This window comes from Homo sapiens, chromosome 10, assembly GCF_000001405.40.
Source record: "Homo sapiens chromosome 10, GRCh38.p14 Primary Assembly".
Classification (NCBI taxonomy): Eukaryota; Metazoa; Chordata; class Mammalia; order Primates; family Hominidae; genus Homo; species Homo sapiens.
Window position 1 is genome coordinate 110543050 of NC_000010.11, and position 16611 is coordinate 110559660.

A 16611-nucleotide genomic window follows, 5' to 3' on the forward strand; every position below is an offset into this window, starting at 1 on the left:
GTGGTGTGGGTACCGAGTCCCGTCAGACACGTACCTTTCCTTGGTCAACTTGAGCATTGGAAACTGAACATTCCTCCCAATGCCCTGGGTTAACATATGCTGGGGCATCATCCAGCTGCTGGTATGTACCAAAGATAGAGCTTCTTTCAAATGACCCACTCCCTTCACTGGAGGCCAGAGTGAAGGAGGCTGAGCAAGAAACCAGCCAGGCTAGCCGGAGCCCACAAGCATGGCCTCGGGTCTGGCTCTATGTTAATCCACCAGTTCCTACAGCCCTAATCAGATCCTGAGAGACCAATTTATTCTAAGTAATCAACAAGAATGGGAATAATGAAACAGGAAATGAATGTGTTAGTTTATAAGCCAATTCCTTGAGTCCAGCAGCAACAAGATTACTGCTGCTGCACTACTGTTCTCTCCTGATGGATGAGGCAAGTTGAGACCACTGCATAAGCAAAAGGTTGCTCAGAACGTAGAAAGACCACAAAGGGACGTGGGAATTATTTAGAGGGAGGCTAGTGGTATAGTAAAAAGAGGGTGGTCAGATGACATTGGTTGGAAATCATGGCTCCAGTACTTACTATGTGACTTTGGGCAAGTTACCTAAAAGTCTGTGTCAGTTTCTCCACAAATAAAATGGGCACCATAACACCTAACTCACACAGCTGTTTTAAAGAGTAAATGAGATAACGTATGGAAAAGTCCAGGCACAAACTAGATATCACCAAATGCTCACTTCCTTTTAATTATTTTTATAGATAATTTTCAACTGCAAGGTGATACATCACGTTAATTACTGAATATGGAAAATGTTTGATAAGCCAAAAGGAAAAAACTGAAATCTCCCACAATTCCATCAGCCAGAGATAACTGTTAGTAGCATTGGTGGACTGGGGAGAAGAGCATTTTATCAAGGCTCAAAGTAGGAAATTTGGTCCTTGGGACAAATAGCAGGAAATGAGAGCTCAGATCAAAGGAAGGGCACCCCGGAGGAAGGAGATGTGGTACAAGCAAAGGCATTGGTCACTCATGTGCCTTGGCTCACTGGCCTGTGTCACTCCAACCTCTGCTTCTGTCGTCACCTCTATTTTCCCAACTCCCCTGTCTTCTTCTTTCCCTTATCAGGACTCTTGTGATTACGCTGGGCCACTCCAGATGATCCAGGATAATCTCCCCATCTCAAAATCCTGAACTGAATCAGTTTTGTCATGTAAGGTTTCATATTCATAGGTTCTAGGAATTAGGGTGTGGACATTTGGGGGATTATTATTCTGCCCACCTCACCTGGGCAAGCCACTTTCTCTGGCCTGAGTTTCCTTATCTGCAGACCATGAGTCTCTGACACAAAACTCTTCACGATCCCTTCCAGGTTTTGCTGGTGGAAATATTTTGAGTGAAATCCAGGGGGACTGAGGTATAGAAACTGTACTCAATTTCTTATGGGTTTCCTTACTTCCTCCTCTAGAACTATACTCTCTCCTCTGAATGCTACCAATGTCATTTGTATGTAAGCTTTTATTTTATTTATTTATTTATTTATTTATTTATTTATTTATTTATTGAGATGGAGTCTCGCTCTGTCGCCCAGGCTGGAGTGCAGTGGTGTGATCTTGGCTCACTGCAAGCTCTGCCTGCCAGGTTCACGCCATTCTTCTGCCTCAGCCTCCAGAGTAACTGGGACTACAGGTGCCCGTCACCACGCCTGGCTAATTTTTCTGTATTTTTAGTAGAGATGGGGTTTCACCGTGTTAGCCAGGGTGGTCTCGATCTCCTGACCTAGTGATCCGCCCGCCTCGGCCTCCCAAAGTGCTGGGATTACAGGCATGAGCCACCGAATCCGGCCTGTATGTAAGCTTTTATTCATTGAAGGAGCCTGCATAGAGTGCTTACTATGTGCCAGGCCCTGTTCTAAGCAGATATGAAACCACTGAACTTTCCCTAATAGCCCTATGAACCAAGTGCTATTGCTATCCTTATTTTATAGAGGCACAGAGAGGTTAAGTATATCTTGCACAAGATCACAGAGTGGCAGGACTGAGGTCAAACTTCAGCTGTCTGGCTCCAGAATCTGTATTCTTAACCACTGGCCACCCAGCATCTCATCAAAGCCCTTGACCACAGTCATGAGGCTATTGCTTAAGTCTCTTCTCCTAGACTGTGGGCAGCTCAAGAGCAGGAGTCTTGTCTAACTCTGTGAATCCCAGCTCTGATAACAGCCTAGTACACAAATAAACCAAAATATAAGCATACTACTTATCTACTTGAGAGCCTCTTGATTAGGGCCATGATTGCAGGACATAATAATAAACATTTATGGGACACTTCAAAAGAAAACATAATCCTCATGCCAGCACTGGGAAGGAGGTACTATTATGATCTTCATTTTACAGACTAGGAAACTGCAGCAGAAAGAAAAAAGCTAAGTAATGTGCCCAAGGTCAGGAACTGGATTTGAGTTGAGAGCTGCTTGACTTCCAAGCTTGCATTGTGAAGGTGAGCATGAACTCCTTGAGGGCTGCAATTTTAAAGTTAGAACCAAGTTTGACTCTGGACAACCACAGAGAGGAACAAAAAAATGAACATTTTACTGGACAATGCAATATGCCAGGTTCTGGTGCCAGGTGCTTAACATAACTCAGGTAGTCCTCAGAACAACCTGGTTGTTCCGTTTCACAGATGAGAAAACGGAGGTTTAGAGAGACTAAGTGAGTTTCCCAAAGTCTACTGGGAGAGCCAAAACTGGGTATAATTCCACAATTCATCAACTTTCCACTATTACTAAGCTGCTGGGCCTCAGTTCTCTCATTTGAAAAGATGGAGTCCAGCTCAGCTTTTTTTTTTTTTAAACAACATTAAGTGTGTGCTTATTGTGTGCCAGGCACTGTGCTAAGAACTTCACATTTATTATGTAATTTCATCCTCATAACATTCCCTGAGGTGCTATATACTATTAGTATTATTTCTACTTTACAAATAGAGAAACTGAGGCTCAGACAGACATATGTTGTTACACAGCGACTCTGAGGCCCAGCCCGAGTTTAACTGAAGCTTGTTAGAATCATAAGCCAGACTCTTGCCTATTTTCCTGTGCGGCCTCCAGCAGTCTCTGGCAGCCTTTGGAGTGAGGACATCCTGTGTTCCTCCAGAATCAGAACAAGGCTGGGATGGACGTGGGATGAGTTCCTCAGTGCGTGGGCCTCTCTTCCTTTGGATTTCAAAGACTCACTTCAGTGAAGTCCTGTCAAAGTCAAAAGGTGACATTGAATGGACAGTCGGCCCAGGCTCAGAGTCCAGTCCTGGCACCTCAAGGGCTTGGCTATTTCCTCTGATCCTGTTGTCAAGGCAACCTTGGATCCCTTTGTGGTTCTGTGGTTATTCTCCCTCTTGTGTCCTTGTCTTCCTACGGTTTCAAGAGAATACTTTAGAGACAGCGGCTCCAAATGGCCTACTTGTCACTGATTGAAGGAGATGCTGACTTGAGATAAAAACAGTTCCTAGGACCCTTCAAGGCCTCAACTAGAAAAGGCAATTCTCTGTAAACACGTTGAGGGCAGAGGTTGTCTGTCTTATCATAGCTGTACCCCAGCACCTCACAGGATGCCTGGAACAGAGTAGGTGCTCAGTTAACATTAAGCAAATACATGAATGAATGAATGAATGAACTGATTATGCAAACGAGCTCCCTAAGCTTTTCAGGGGTTGAAAAACTGGGGCAGAGTGATGGGCTAAGATATGTGGCAGAACTAAGAATAAAAGTGCATGTGTGTGTGTGAGTGTGGGTCCCACGGCAAAGGCTCCACAACCCCTGTGATGCATTGGCCTGTGTACCTCCACCTCTCCTCTCCACGTCTTGTGAGCTAGAGCTGTTGGTTGGGTATAGACAGTTCCTGCCCACGCCAGGCTAAAGAAGCAATCTCTCTCTCTTTCTCTTCCTCCCACCCCCGTAAATTGTGGCAAAATACACATAACACAAAATTTACCATCTTAAGCATTTTTAAACGTATGTTGATGTTATTATGCAACTAATCTCCAGGACTCTTCATCATGCAAAGCTATCTCTTTAATCTTGTGTCCATCCCAATTTTACCTACTATTTTGAATTTTAGCTACAAATAGACCCTGGGTTTTGACCTCTGTATTGAGTCTTAGTGTGTTACAGGACAGTATTGGCGACCAACAAATGTTCACTGGGTAATTGATCTTACTCTGTGTTTTATTTTTTTCCTGCGTGCTTCAATTTCTCGGTTTACAAGCAATTTTGGCTTTGTGATGCATCCCACAATTACAAGAACTTCTTCACCGCCCTCTAGTGGTAAAGATGAAGATGTGACACTCAGAATAACCATTCGCCTTTCCTGCTGATGTTGAACATGGCCCCTTTTTTTCTGATAACTCGCTGGACTTTATATAATCCAAAATTGTGATTGCTCCAAAGTTGGCAGTTCATCCTCACTTTACAGATAAAGTTGACCTGTAGAACAGTGCTTCTCAAATTGGCTGGCGAAGAACCAGTTTTTAAAAGAATTTTAATCTGCAAACCAATCCATTGTACAATAAAAATGAATTATTAATACTGGACACATTACATTAAAAAACAAAGATATACAAAATTGAACCAAATTTTATTATCATATTCAACAGACAAAATTGCATTTCAATAAATATAATCAGAATAAACATAACGGGAAAAATAATTGCAAAATCTGTACATGTTTATTGAATGTGTGTATTATATGATTAATATATAAATTGCTATTGCATTTATAATTTTTGTTGTTCTGCAATTATAACTAAATGAAAAATTTTGAGTAAAATAGTGTTTCTCTACTTTGAATGAACACCATGCATATAAATATTGAGCATTCTTAATGGACAAATACACAAGTTATGGCTTGCCAACCTATCTAACCCAGCCAGAATGGACTATAATGCTACTTGCAAAGTAGAATGTGTGATGAGATTGCTTCTATTTTTGTTGTTGTTGTTGTTGTAATTTAATAAAGAATAATTATTTTATTTATTTGTTTACTTATTTATTTATTTTAGAAATGGGATCTCACTGTGTCACTGAGGCTGGAGTGCAGTGGCAAGATCATAGCTCACTGAAGCCTCCTGGGCTCAAGCGATCCTCCCGCCTCAGGACTGCCCCCCTCCGCCACCCCCATCCCCTGCCTGTAGCTAGGAAGGACTGCAGGCACGTACCACAGCACCTGGCTTCTATATTTTGTTTTAATAAGAGGTTAGTGGAGAACCAGTCTCACAGAGCTTTGTTAACGGGAAAGGAAAAAGAGATTTTAAGACAATTTTAGGAAGCTCAGGATTTCCATCTTTCACTTTTATTCAAAATGAAGCAAATGATTCTGTATTTTCAAAATTCGTCAATTATTCAATTGCCAGTTCCAACAGTTTATCCTGTAGAGTTAAATTGTCTTTCAATGAAAGCAACAGATTATGGATCTATGAATTTCCCATGCACGAATCTTCTTTTGATGGAAATAAAATGTAAATGTCCCATAACTTGTTTGACCATAACATTTTACAGATATGCAATATCAAGATTATCACTAACATCACTGATAATTGTTGCTAAACTATGGGGCATGTTGTAACAGTCTCTGGATATTCTGTTCTTCCAAGCTTCTGTCATTTTTGCCCTTCAATCTTCTTTGCCATTGAAAATCATGCTGCATTTTTTCTCCCTGCTTAGAAGTAGTAAAAGCATTTAAAATGCCAAAAATATCACACAAAGAAGCATGCCTATTGTCCCAAACCACATTGGGACCTTATAAAGATGTTTGTTTTACTTTCTAGGAACACTAAGAGTTTGTTTCACAGTCAAACATTCCTAATAGTACTTTTCTCTTCAGTAAGCATCGTATCTCACCTACAACAGTTGTTTATGATCAGCTTCCATATGAACACATATTATAATAAAGAGAATAATCTCGAATTTCATGCATTATCCTTTGCATAACTATTTTTTTGCTATGTAACTACACAACTAGACACTGTTTAATTCAGCTAACATTTTTTCATTGTAAAACTTTCCTGATTAAAAAAAGCAGTGCATTGATTTACATTCTTCAAACTTAGTATGCTTTTCTGTCAATGAAGCTGCACATTAAAGCATCTTCCTACAGCAGTCTTAAACCACATTCCTTGACAGTGTAATCCTTTATAGTTTTATACATTTAGGACTAGTTGTGCTTGTCATCAATGAAACTGAAAAAAATTCTTCCACTATGTTTGAATTGCATATATACTACATTAATTGTCATTTTAGCAGTATGTGGGCATTCAATAACTTGCAATGAAAACGACTTTGCTAGCCGTGTATCTGTGAGTTAATCTGCCATGTCATTAGCTAGTTACTGAATTCGTCTAGTTATGAAAAACGACATTTGAGTTACTTTATTTGCCACAGTCACCCATAATTTCAAAGATCTTTGATACAGTCTTGTGCTAAAGTCTTCTTTTTTAAATTTTCGCATCCCCAAATGCTGCTTTATAAGATGCTCATACATTACTAATGTTTATATGTGAAATATTGAACATCTGTTCTTATGAGTTTTTTAAATTCAACATTCTTTCAAGGTATTCTTTAGGTTTTGAATTTACTTCTTTTGTTTTCTATGTAAATGCTACATAAGGTTGATGGTCTTATGAGCTTTATTAGCTAGCATATCTCTACAAATAACATACTATAGTTTTAGAATATTAGTGTCAATTATGGCTACAAAACTGAACTCAATATGTGAGGAATTATACTTCTGAGTAAAACTAGTACAAACTCTTTTCGTAGTAGTTTAATTTCCTTGGAATCACTTCCATAGACATCATCTGTTTTACTATTGGTGCTGCTGTGCATTAGCAAAGGTGTGTCTTTTCTTGATGAAAACAAGTCTAGTGAAGTTTGCTTTGTCACCTCTAAATTACAGTTAAAAATTATTATGAAAGTCTGCTTCCTAATTTAGCTAATATTTTTGTTATTTATTTTTTCAATTTGAAAGCAATCACTGTTTATTAACTGATCAGATTACAGAAATAATTGTGGCACACACCATAGTTCATCCTTCTAAGGAGCTTTTTGATCTGGTTGTCCCTGTTGCCAGCATCTCCACCTTCTACAAAATAGGTGGTCTTTTCCTTCATTCCTCCTCATGGAGAAGATAATTTGAAAGGCCTGAGGAAGTTATTTGCTTCTTTGAAGCATTTTCCAACAGCACAGACCTCATGAATCAGATCCTCTGCACAGATGATTCCATATTTACCAAGAGATCAAGCCATCAAAGTGTTATCTGTCAAGACAATTTGCTTCATATTGATTTTGCTGTAACCACACTTGGAGACTAGTTCATTTACTGAATTCAGGTTCGGAGACTCTCATGCAATATATGGTTCTACAATCCTCAGCATGTAAATTGAAGCACTGTTGAACTTAACAAAGTTTCTGATGAAGATCTGACAAGGCAAAGAAGCTGCCACACCTTTCGGACCCTTGGGCTGCCACCACTGAGACCTCTGATCCTAATGATCAATGCCAATTTGGGTTCTGCAGGTACACAGAAGTTGCCAGCTTTTCTTGCCATTCTAGCCATTCATATCTCAGTTCTATACATCTGTCTATATTCCTAGTGATAGTGTTTAGCTTCTTCATAGATAAGCTTCCTTCCTTCCTTTCGAAGCATCCTTTGGGCAAACTTTTTTCTCTGGCACTTGATCTTCAGCTCTGCAAAATGCCTTCACTTTTACTTAAAGGTTTCTGGCACAGCAGGAGCCTTCTTTTTCTTCTCTTCAACACTCTCCCTGGTTCCACCCAGAAAACTGAAGATTTTAAAATTATAAACTAAAAAAAATTAGTTTTTACAAAAACATTATATGTAATAAGTAAAAACAACAAAATATCAAAAGAAATAAATGCTTTTGTTTTCTCAGATTTTTACATGCCTTTGGCTTTCAGTTGACCGACTAACCTTAAAGTACCACACACTGTAGCATGGTCCTGCTGCCACACAGCTCATGGCCAGCACCTGAACTGGTCTATCCCTTGTTCAGTGAGACAGGTTCCCTAATGCACTTGAATGTAAAACTGCTATAAAGGTTTCTAAATGCCTGCTTTCAATTAGGTACTGCTCTCCTCATGAACTGGTAACAAACAGTTTGTGGACTACAGGGTTCTATGGAGCACAATTTGAATAGTGCTGACAAGAAGACCTAAGTGGTGAGTAAGTGCTGGATCACCTTTCTCTTAGTCTAATGCCCTCTTCATTTCCTATTTTAATTCAGTTTTTTCATCTATCAAATGGGCTTTTGTAAAGATTAAATGAGATTACTCATGTGAAGTGTTTAGCATAGAGCCTCGTACAGAGTAGATGCTATGACTATTATCACTAACTCACTAGTGTAAGGTAGGCTGATGACTTCCCAGACACGGATTCCCAGCCTTCACTATCTTCCTCAGGACCAAGCCTGGGGGAGAGGGACAAGTGCATCATCAGCATTCAATGAGCATAGACACCCCCCAGTGCTCTCCTTTCTCAATCCTTTCCCATTTGAGGAGCTTCCATCTGAGATCCTTATCTATGGGTCCGCATATCACACCACTCTGGGAATTGTGCACCCAGGAGCTATGCAGTGCAGTCTACACAGTCATACACAGCAGCACTGTCTTGATTAGCCAGAGTCAAGCCTTGGCACTGAAACACAGTCTTTCCTTCCAAATAGTAGAACCACCAGCTTTCTTCCCAGGGAAGTTATTATGGTGACCGCAAAACCAGCTTAGATGATATAATCAGGACCCTCACTGTCTATCCTTTATCCCCTTAACAAAGCAGTTCAGAAGGAGCTGTAACCTTGGACATTATCTGCAGATAGCAGAGATTTTATTTCATGACTTCCAACTCTTTAGCTCAATGCATTTCTATAGCTAATGTTCACCTGGATATCTGGCCCAGGGCTGATAAGTTCTGTGTGGCTTCCTTTTCTGGGATGTACAAATGCAGGGATGAAGGCAAATTCAGTGCCCTGGGCAACAAAAGGCAAGGTCAGGTAGGTATAAATTTCAAAGCACTTAAACATGTCTTTCTTCCTTTTCTGCAGAACCATAATTACCACTTTGTCAAAAATGAAAAATAACCAACAAATGTATAAGTCACTATGTAATTCCAAGGGACTGTATGATATACCTTAGACTAGCCAACAGTCTAACCTTTAAGGTGTGTGAAATCCAGGTGAGGAGACAAGACAAAAGTATGAGGAAGCATTCAAAAGCACTGGTAGTCTAAAGAACAGCAAAGGAAGGGCTACACACAAGCCCTCAGCACAACAGGCTGTGGATACTTTCATGCATGTTAACAGACTCCCTGCCCAAGTGCTATGCCACCTACCTGATTTTCTGCCTCCATTCCTTCTCTGAGGCCAAGGAAATCGGCACAGCCAAGCAGAGGTGCAATGACCTCTGAGGGCAACCTCCAGTCATTGGGAGATGAGAACTGGTGGACGAGAGCCTCTGTGTCCCTGTGCTTTGGTGGGACAATTCTGAAGTATTTATATGGTTTGGCTGTGTCCCCACCCAAATCTCATCTTGAATTGTAGCTCCCATAATTCCCATGTGTTATGGGAGGGACCTGGTGGGAGATAATTGAATCATGGGGGGTGGTTTCCCCCATACTGTTCTCACGGTAGTAAGTCTCACGAGATCTGATGATTTTACAAGGGGCTTCCCCTTTTGCTTGGCTGTCATTCTCTCTTGTCTGCCGCCATGTAAGACATGCCTTTTGCCTTCCACCATGATTGTAAGGACTCCCCAACCATGTGGAACTGTGAGTCCATTAAACTTCTTTTTCTTTATAAATTACCCAGTCTTGGGTATATCTTTGTCAGCAGCGTGAAAATGGATGAATACAGGTATGCTATTGACATTTCCTCAGAAGTTTCCCAGTGGGCTTGATTCTCAGTGTTCATACTTCTAACTGGTTCAACAGAGCATAAGTTATTGGCTTTTCTCTCTTCGCTGTCTTACTCTTCCTACTCCATCACTTCTGTTCCCTGGGATCTCCTCCCATTTAAACCACCGGCACCCAAATCCTGACGTCAGGCTTCATTTGTGGAGGAAACTAAAATAAAGTCCATGGGCAGATGCTGAGTAACCTGCACATTTCAGATCCCTTTCGATTATTATTATTACTATTATTATTATTATTATTATTATTGAGACGGAGATTCACTCTTGCTGCTCAGGCTGAGGTGCAATGGTGTGATCTTAGCTCACCGCAACCTCTGCCTCCCGGGTCCAGTGATTCTCCTGCCTCAGCCTTCTGAATAGCTGGGATTACAGGTGCCCACGACCACACCTGGCTAATTTTTTGTATTTTTGGTAGAGACAGGGGTTTCACCATGTCGACCAGGCTGGTCTTGAACTCCTGACCTCAGGTGATATGCCCGCCTCGGCCTCCCAAAGTGCTGGGATTACAGGTGTGAGCCACCGCGCCCAGCCGATCCCCTTCAATTATGAAGACTCCTTTTAAACATCAAGAACTTTTATGGAGCCTGTCTTCAGCAACTAGCTGTTGTGCTTTTGGTATTCATGCTTCATTCGTTCAACAGGCACTTTTTTAAACTCTAATAAAGTACAGAAGGACCAAACGCTACTGTGACATCTATTACTCTTGTGAAAGGGTGTATATATATTTCTTATGATAGCATCTATTGAAAACAATGGTGTTTCTAGAGATAGAAATAAAAATGATTTTCAAATGTATGAAAAGGTGCTAAACCTCGCTCACAGGAATAAGAATGCAAATTAAAAGACATTAAAATGCCATTTTCCACGTTTCAGATTGGCAAAGACCAAAAAGTTTGATAACATTGTGTTGGTTAGGATGTGGGGAATCACTAATTTAATAAATGATTATTGATCACCTATCACAAGTCTGTGCTAGGCACTGAGTAACCAGCAGTTAACAAAGTAAACCAAAATTCCTACTCTCCAGGAGCACACATTCCAGTGGGGGGCTGGTAATGCAATCAGTGAAAATGGCTCCCTGTGTCACACAGTGAGTGCTCTGAAGAAAGACAAAGCAATATAAAATCTGCCGAGTGACCAAGGGGTGGTGTTACTTTAGATAGGGTGGTCAGAGGCGACCTTCCTTATATGGTGACAATTGAGCAAAGGCCTGAATGAAGTCTTGGGAGTATTTCTCATAGAAGTATTTTCCAGGCAGTGTGAAGTAGTCAGATGAAGCCTTTCACAGATACCAGTAATAAAAACTGGACCAAATATTAAGCAATGGCTTCTCAGATAGGAAAACCACAAGCAACCAAAGAAAAAAAACCAGATAAGTTAGACTATATTAAAATTAAAAATGTATGTGCTTCAAATGACATTATTAACAAAGTAAAAAGATAATCCACAGAAATGGGAGAACATATTTGCAAATCATGTACCTGATAAGGGTCTAGGATCAGAACATATAAAGAATTCTTACAACTCAACAATAAAAGGAAATAACCTAAATAAAAAACGGGCGAAGGCTGGGCATGGTGGCTCACATGTGTAATCCCAGCACTTGGGAGGCTGAGGCAGCTGGATTGCTTGAGCTCAGGAGTTCGAAATCAGGCTGGGCAATGTGGTGAGATCCTGTCCCCACAAAAAACACAAAAATTATCTGGGCATGGTGGCATGCACCTGTAATCCCCGCTACTCAGGAGCTGAAGTGGAAGAATTGCTTGAGCCCAGTAGGTTGAGGCTGCAGTGAGCTGTGACAGCACCACTGCACTCCAGCCTGGGTAACAGAGCAAGACCTCATCAAAAGAAAAAGAAAAAAAGAAAAAGAAGAAAAAGAAAAAGAGAGGAGGGGAGAGATAACTGATACATGCTACAACATGTATGAGTCCTGGAAACATTATGCTACGTGAAAGAAGTCAGACACAAAAGGCCACATATTTTGTGATTGCATTTACATGGAAAATGAAGGCTGTGAGGATTTGGTACAAGTATAAGAGCAATATATGGAGGATTACCAAGGTTTGTTTATTCAGGCAATTATTTTTCCAGTGATCAGCTTTTCATAATAGTTGCAATTTTCCTACTGTGATTAGCTCAGTGGAGACAGAATTATTGTAACCCTTTCCAAGGGTATAAGGGTTTGGTCTTTAGTTTTTAGGGAATGTTTAAGGTTACCAAGAAAGTTTCTCTCTAATTTTTCTTTTATTCTCAAGGTCCTTATTCAGAAAAGTAACGCAAAACCTGGAACTACAACAACAACAACAAAAATTTGCATGGCCTTTCAATATAATTAATGACTCAGTATTCACGATTGCTTAAGGCCCAGATGGTTTACAATGCTGTAGAAAATGGAAGAAAACTGATACGGTATGATGAATTTCTTTTGACCCTTAGAAAAAGATAACCTTAAAGGTTATAGTTTATCACGCTGTAGAATATTTACTAGTTTTGTGTGTTTTCAGCACTCTTTTTTTCCAATGCCTAAATTTGAGTTTCTTACATTCTCTTTTAAACCAGCTTTGTCATTTTAGTGATTCCCTCATTAATAAGTTAAATCAAACTATGACACATGCTCATATGAGAATTGAGTTTTTTAAAATAAAAATTTGAAGATTATGGTGGCACAAAGTTAATTTTAAGTGGAGAAGCAAAATGAAGGTTATTGAGAGTTTCTTGGGCACTTCTTTTTAAAATTACTGGGTTTTTCCAATAATGACAATTTTCCTGGCATCATTCAGTGGAGGGCTGAGGACCTGTATTTCCTGTGAGGTATGAGTCTGGTCTTTAGTTTTGGGGGCTTGTTACAAGCATCTGAAAAGGCTCCTTTGTAAGGTTTTTCTCTAAAGTCCCAAAAGAGGTCTTGCAATGTCGCCTAGGTATCTCTCTTCTGTGAGAGAAGCAATGAAAGAATTTGTCTCTTTTTTCTAAATCTCATCTTCTCACAAATGTTCTTCTTCCATCTTCCAGGATGGGAGTGTCCTAGGTTTTCTCTTGGATGATTTGACAGTCCCAGGCATCACCAAGACAGAACTGTAATTTGGGAACATCTCTGGGGTGCCAGTTCTATCTCTTGGGTACCATGAGAATTGAATAGGAACTGGGCAATAGTGAGGTATCTTTCTTATTCATGAGACTGGGAAGTATCCATAGAAAGTCTGTCCAGCCTAAGAGTGAAAACGGATAGGGCACACATAAGAAAAAAAAAAAGAGAGGAAGAGAGCGAAAAATATTTTTAAGAGGTGGGGAGGAATAACAGAGAAATTAAACAAAGAGATAAAATCAGTCCATGATCCCTTCCTGAGATGATAAGAGAAACTGAACTGAAACTAACTTCAAGATGGAACTTTCCCATGGAATCTCATAGCAGTAGAGGGGAGATAAGGAGGGCAATGAGAAACTATGACATCAAGGTGCATCATGTGTGCACTTTACCCTTGCCCTGTACCTCACCTTTGCTGGCTTTGGAGTCTTTATTGCACCAGGTACTTTATTGCACCAACTACATTGTTGTTGTGTGAAAGAGTCTACAGCCTCAGAATTTTTTTGAAATATGGCCAGAAGTCTGGGCACAGGTAACAACTCTCTGCCCGGTGGCATCAGACTGAAATCAAGGTGTTAGCCAGGCTGCAGTTTCATCCAAGCCTCAGAACCTCTTCCAACCTCCCTGGATTTGGCAGAACCCATTACTTGCAGTTGTAGAACTGTAGAACTTTTGGGATGCTAAAGTCCCAAAAGAGGTCTTGCAATGTCTCCTAGGTATCTGTGAGAGAAGCGATGAAAGAGTTTGTCTCTCTTTTCTAAATCTTTCCTTGAAGCCACCTGTCATTCCCTGCCACATGGCCTTCTCCACAACATGGCAGGAGGCCGGCAGGAGAGCATCTCTGGCTTTGAATCTCTCTAACTTGACTTCATTTCTGATACCTTCTTGTAAAGGGATCACTTGATTAGGTCAGGCCCACTGAAGATAATCTCCCTCTTCATTAACTCAAAGTCACTTGATTAGGGATCTGAATGACATCTGCAAAGTCTGTTCTCCTTTGCCACATATGAATAACATAACCTAATCACAAGAGTGGTCCCCCATCATACAGTCACAGGTCCCAGCCACATTCAAAATGAGAAACGTATACAGGATGTGCACCACAAGGGGGCAGACGTCTTAGGGCCATCTTAGAATTTGGCTTGCCGCAGAAGATTCGGCAGAATGTTAAATAGATCTAACAGAGAAGAGACTTGCAGGCTCAGGAGGGGCAAATGCAAAATCCCTGCAGTAGGAGACACCTGGTGCACTTCAATGTGGCTCGAACTGAAAGGAGAGATAGCAAGAGACGAGATCAGAGAGGTAAAAATGAGCCAGATTGTTTAGGATCTTACAGAACTTTTATCTCTAAACATGTTATAAAAATGTTCAAACTACGAAAAAGTTTAATTTTTTTTTTTTTTTTGAGACTGAGTCTCACTTTATTGCCCAGTCTGGAGTGCAGTGGCACAATCCTGGCTCACTGCAATCTCCACCTCCCGGGTCCAAGCGATTCTCCTGCCTCAGCCTCCCCAGTAGCTGGGATTACAGGGGCCTGCCACCACATGTGGCTACTTTTTGTATTTTTAGTAGAGACAGGGTTTCACCATGTTGGCCAGGCTGGTCTTGAACTCCTGACTTCAAATGATCCACCTGCCTCGGCCTCCCAAAGTGCTGGGATTATAGGCATGAACCACCACACCCCACCTTTTTTTTTTTTTTTTTTTGAGACAGAGTCTTGAGCCCAGGTTGGAGTGCAGTTGCACGATCTCAGCTTACTGTAACCTCTGCCTTCTCGGTTCAAGTGATTCTCGTGCCTCAGCCTACTGAGTAGCTGGGATTACAGATGAGCACCACCACACCCAGCTAATTTTTGTATTTTTAGTAGAGATGAGTTTTGCCATGTTGGCCAGGCTGGTATTGAACTCCTGACCTCAAGCAATTTGCCCACAGTGGCCCCCCAGAGTGCTGGGATTACAGGCCTGAGCCACTGCACCTGGCCAAAATTATTTTTTTCACTTTAAAAAAGTATTTTATCACTATTTTTAGACACAAGGTCTTGCTCTGTGCCCAGGCTAGAGTGCATGGTGCGATCTCAGCTCACTGAAGCTGTGATCACTCCTGGGCTCAAGTGATCCTCCCACTTCAACCTCCCAAGTAGCTGGAACCACAGATGAGAGTCACAGTGCCTGGCTTCCTTTTCTTTCTTAAGCAACAACCCATATTGCTAGTTGCTTCAAACTTTTCAGTTTCCAAACTTCTCCGCATCAACACCATATTTTCTCACTCAGACTGGGCTCTGCACTAGTAACATCTTAAATTTGTATAACCATGTAGTTTAGGGAGTTTTCCTACTTTTTAACTCGCTGGTAAATGAATTAAAGAAATAAAGGGATATGATTTCCACATGGCCAACAGGGAAACTGAAGCACAGACAGAGCCATTATGCCCATGGTTCTGCAGCACAGGTGACAGATCTGGGACCAGTTGCTGATTTCCAGGCTGGGGCTCTCTCACTAGGTGAGTGGCTTATCTGGTTTGCTTTTCCTGCCATTCCTCCCTCACCAGAAAGCAAGACTCCTGCTTTCATCTCCAAGGGAAGAAAAAAGAAGGAAGGGAGAATTCTGCAGCTAATCACTCTGCACTCTTGTTTCCACCAGCAATTCCCCTGAATTAGCTGTCACAGATTTCGTTAGATAGGATTTTTTTTTTTTTTTTTTTTGTAGATGGAGTGTCTGTCGCTGAGGCTGGAGTGCAGCGATGTGATCTTAGCTCACTGCAACATCTGCCTCCCTGGTTCAAGTGATTTTCCTGATTCAGCCTCCTGAGTAGCTGGGATTACAGGTGCACACCACCACGCCTGCCTAATTTTTGTATTTTTAGTAGAGACAGGGTTTCTACTTGAACTCCTGACCTCCTGATCCGCCTGCCTCGGCCTCCCAAAGTGCTGGGATTACAGGCATGAGCCACAGCACCTGGCCTTAGATAGGATTTTTAACACACACCACCGGCTCCTACTCACTTCAGTGCCTTCAGGTGAGTGGTTCTCCTCTGCTGAAATACCTTCATCCTTCCTCTTCGTGAACCCAAATCCACCTCAGTCTGCAGACACCTTCCAAGTCACTTTCCTACCTGACCCCACTTCACCCCACCAGGACTGTGACTCAACCACGCTGACCAAGAGTCTACGATGGGGCCAGTCATTGTTTCTAGGGTCTTCTACCTTCCTCATCTCATTTCAACCCACAGAAAACATGTGAGGCAGATTTTTTTTCCCCCATTTTAGAGCTGATATAACCCAGGCTCAGGAAAGTTGAGAACTCCAGCTTCTTGACTCTCCAGGTTTTGTGCTCTTTTCTTTTCCCCATAACTCAAGGTGTTTTTTCCCTCATCAATGTCTTTTCCTTTATAAACATTCTAGTATTTCTGTGTACCATTCAGAAGAACTGCAAGAATTTTAGATCCAGGGTTAGGTGAGTCTCATGTAACAGTCTGTGGGAGGTTGGAAATGGAATAATTTCTACTTCAGTTATGCTGGATATTAAAATAAAGGTTGCCAAAAACATATTTCATTGCAAGCATCCAA

General features: G+C 41.2%; 1 pseudogene, besides 2 other annotated features; it reads right to left on the minus strand.

Moving 5' to 3' along the window:
* RPL7P35 (ribosomal protein L7 pseudogene 35) lies at nucleotides 6997-7824 on the minus strand (annotated as a pseudogene).
* Nucleotides 10410-10987: an enhancer, noted in NCBI's record as "OCT4-NANOG-H3K27ac hESC enhancer chr10:112313217-112313794 (GRCh37/hg19 assembly coordinates)". NCBI's record gives its function as "activates a minimal SCP1, AML or CMV promoter by ChIP-STARR-seq in primed H9 embryonic stem cells {active_cell/tissue: H9 hESC(primed)}" and the evidence as "EXISTENCE:reporter gene assay evidence [ECO:0000049][PMID:30033119]".
* Nucleotides 10988-11565: an enhancer, noted in NCBI's record as "OCT4-NANOG-H3K27ac hESC enhancer chr10:112313795-112314372 (GRCh37/hg19 assembly coordinates)". NCBI's record gives its function as "activates a minimal SCP1, AML or CMV promoter by ChIP-STARR-seq in naive and primed H9 embryonic stem cells {active_cell/tissue: H9 hESC(naive and primed)}" and the evidence as "EXISTENCE:reporter gene assay evidence [ECO:0000049][PMID:30033119]".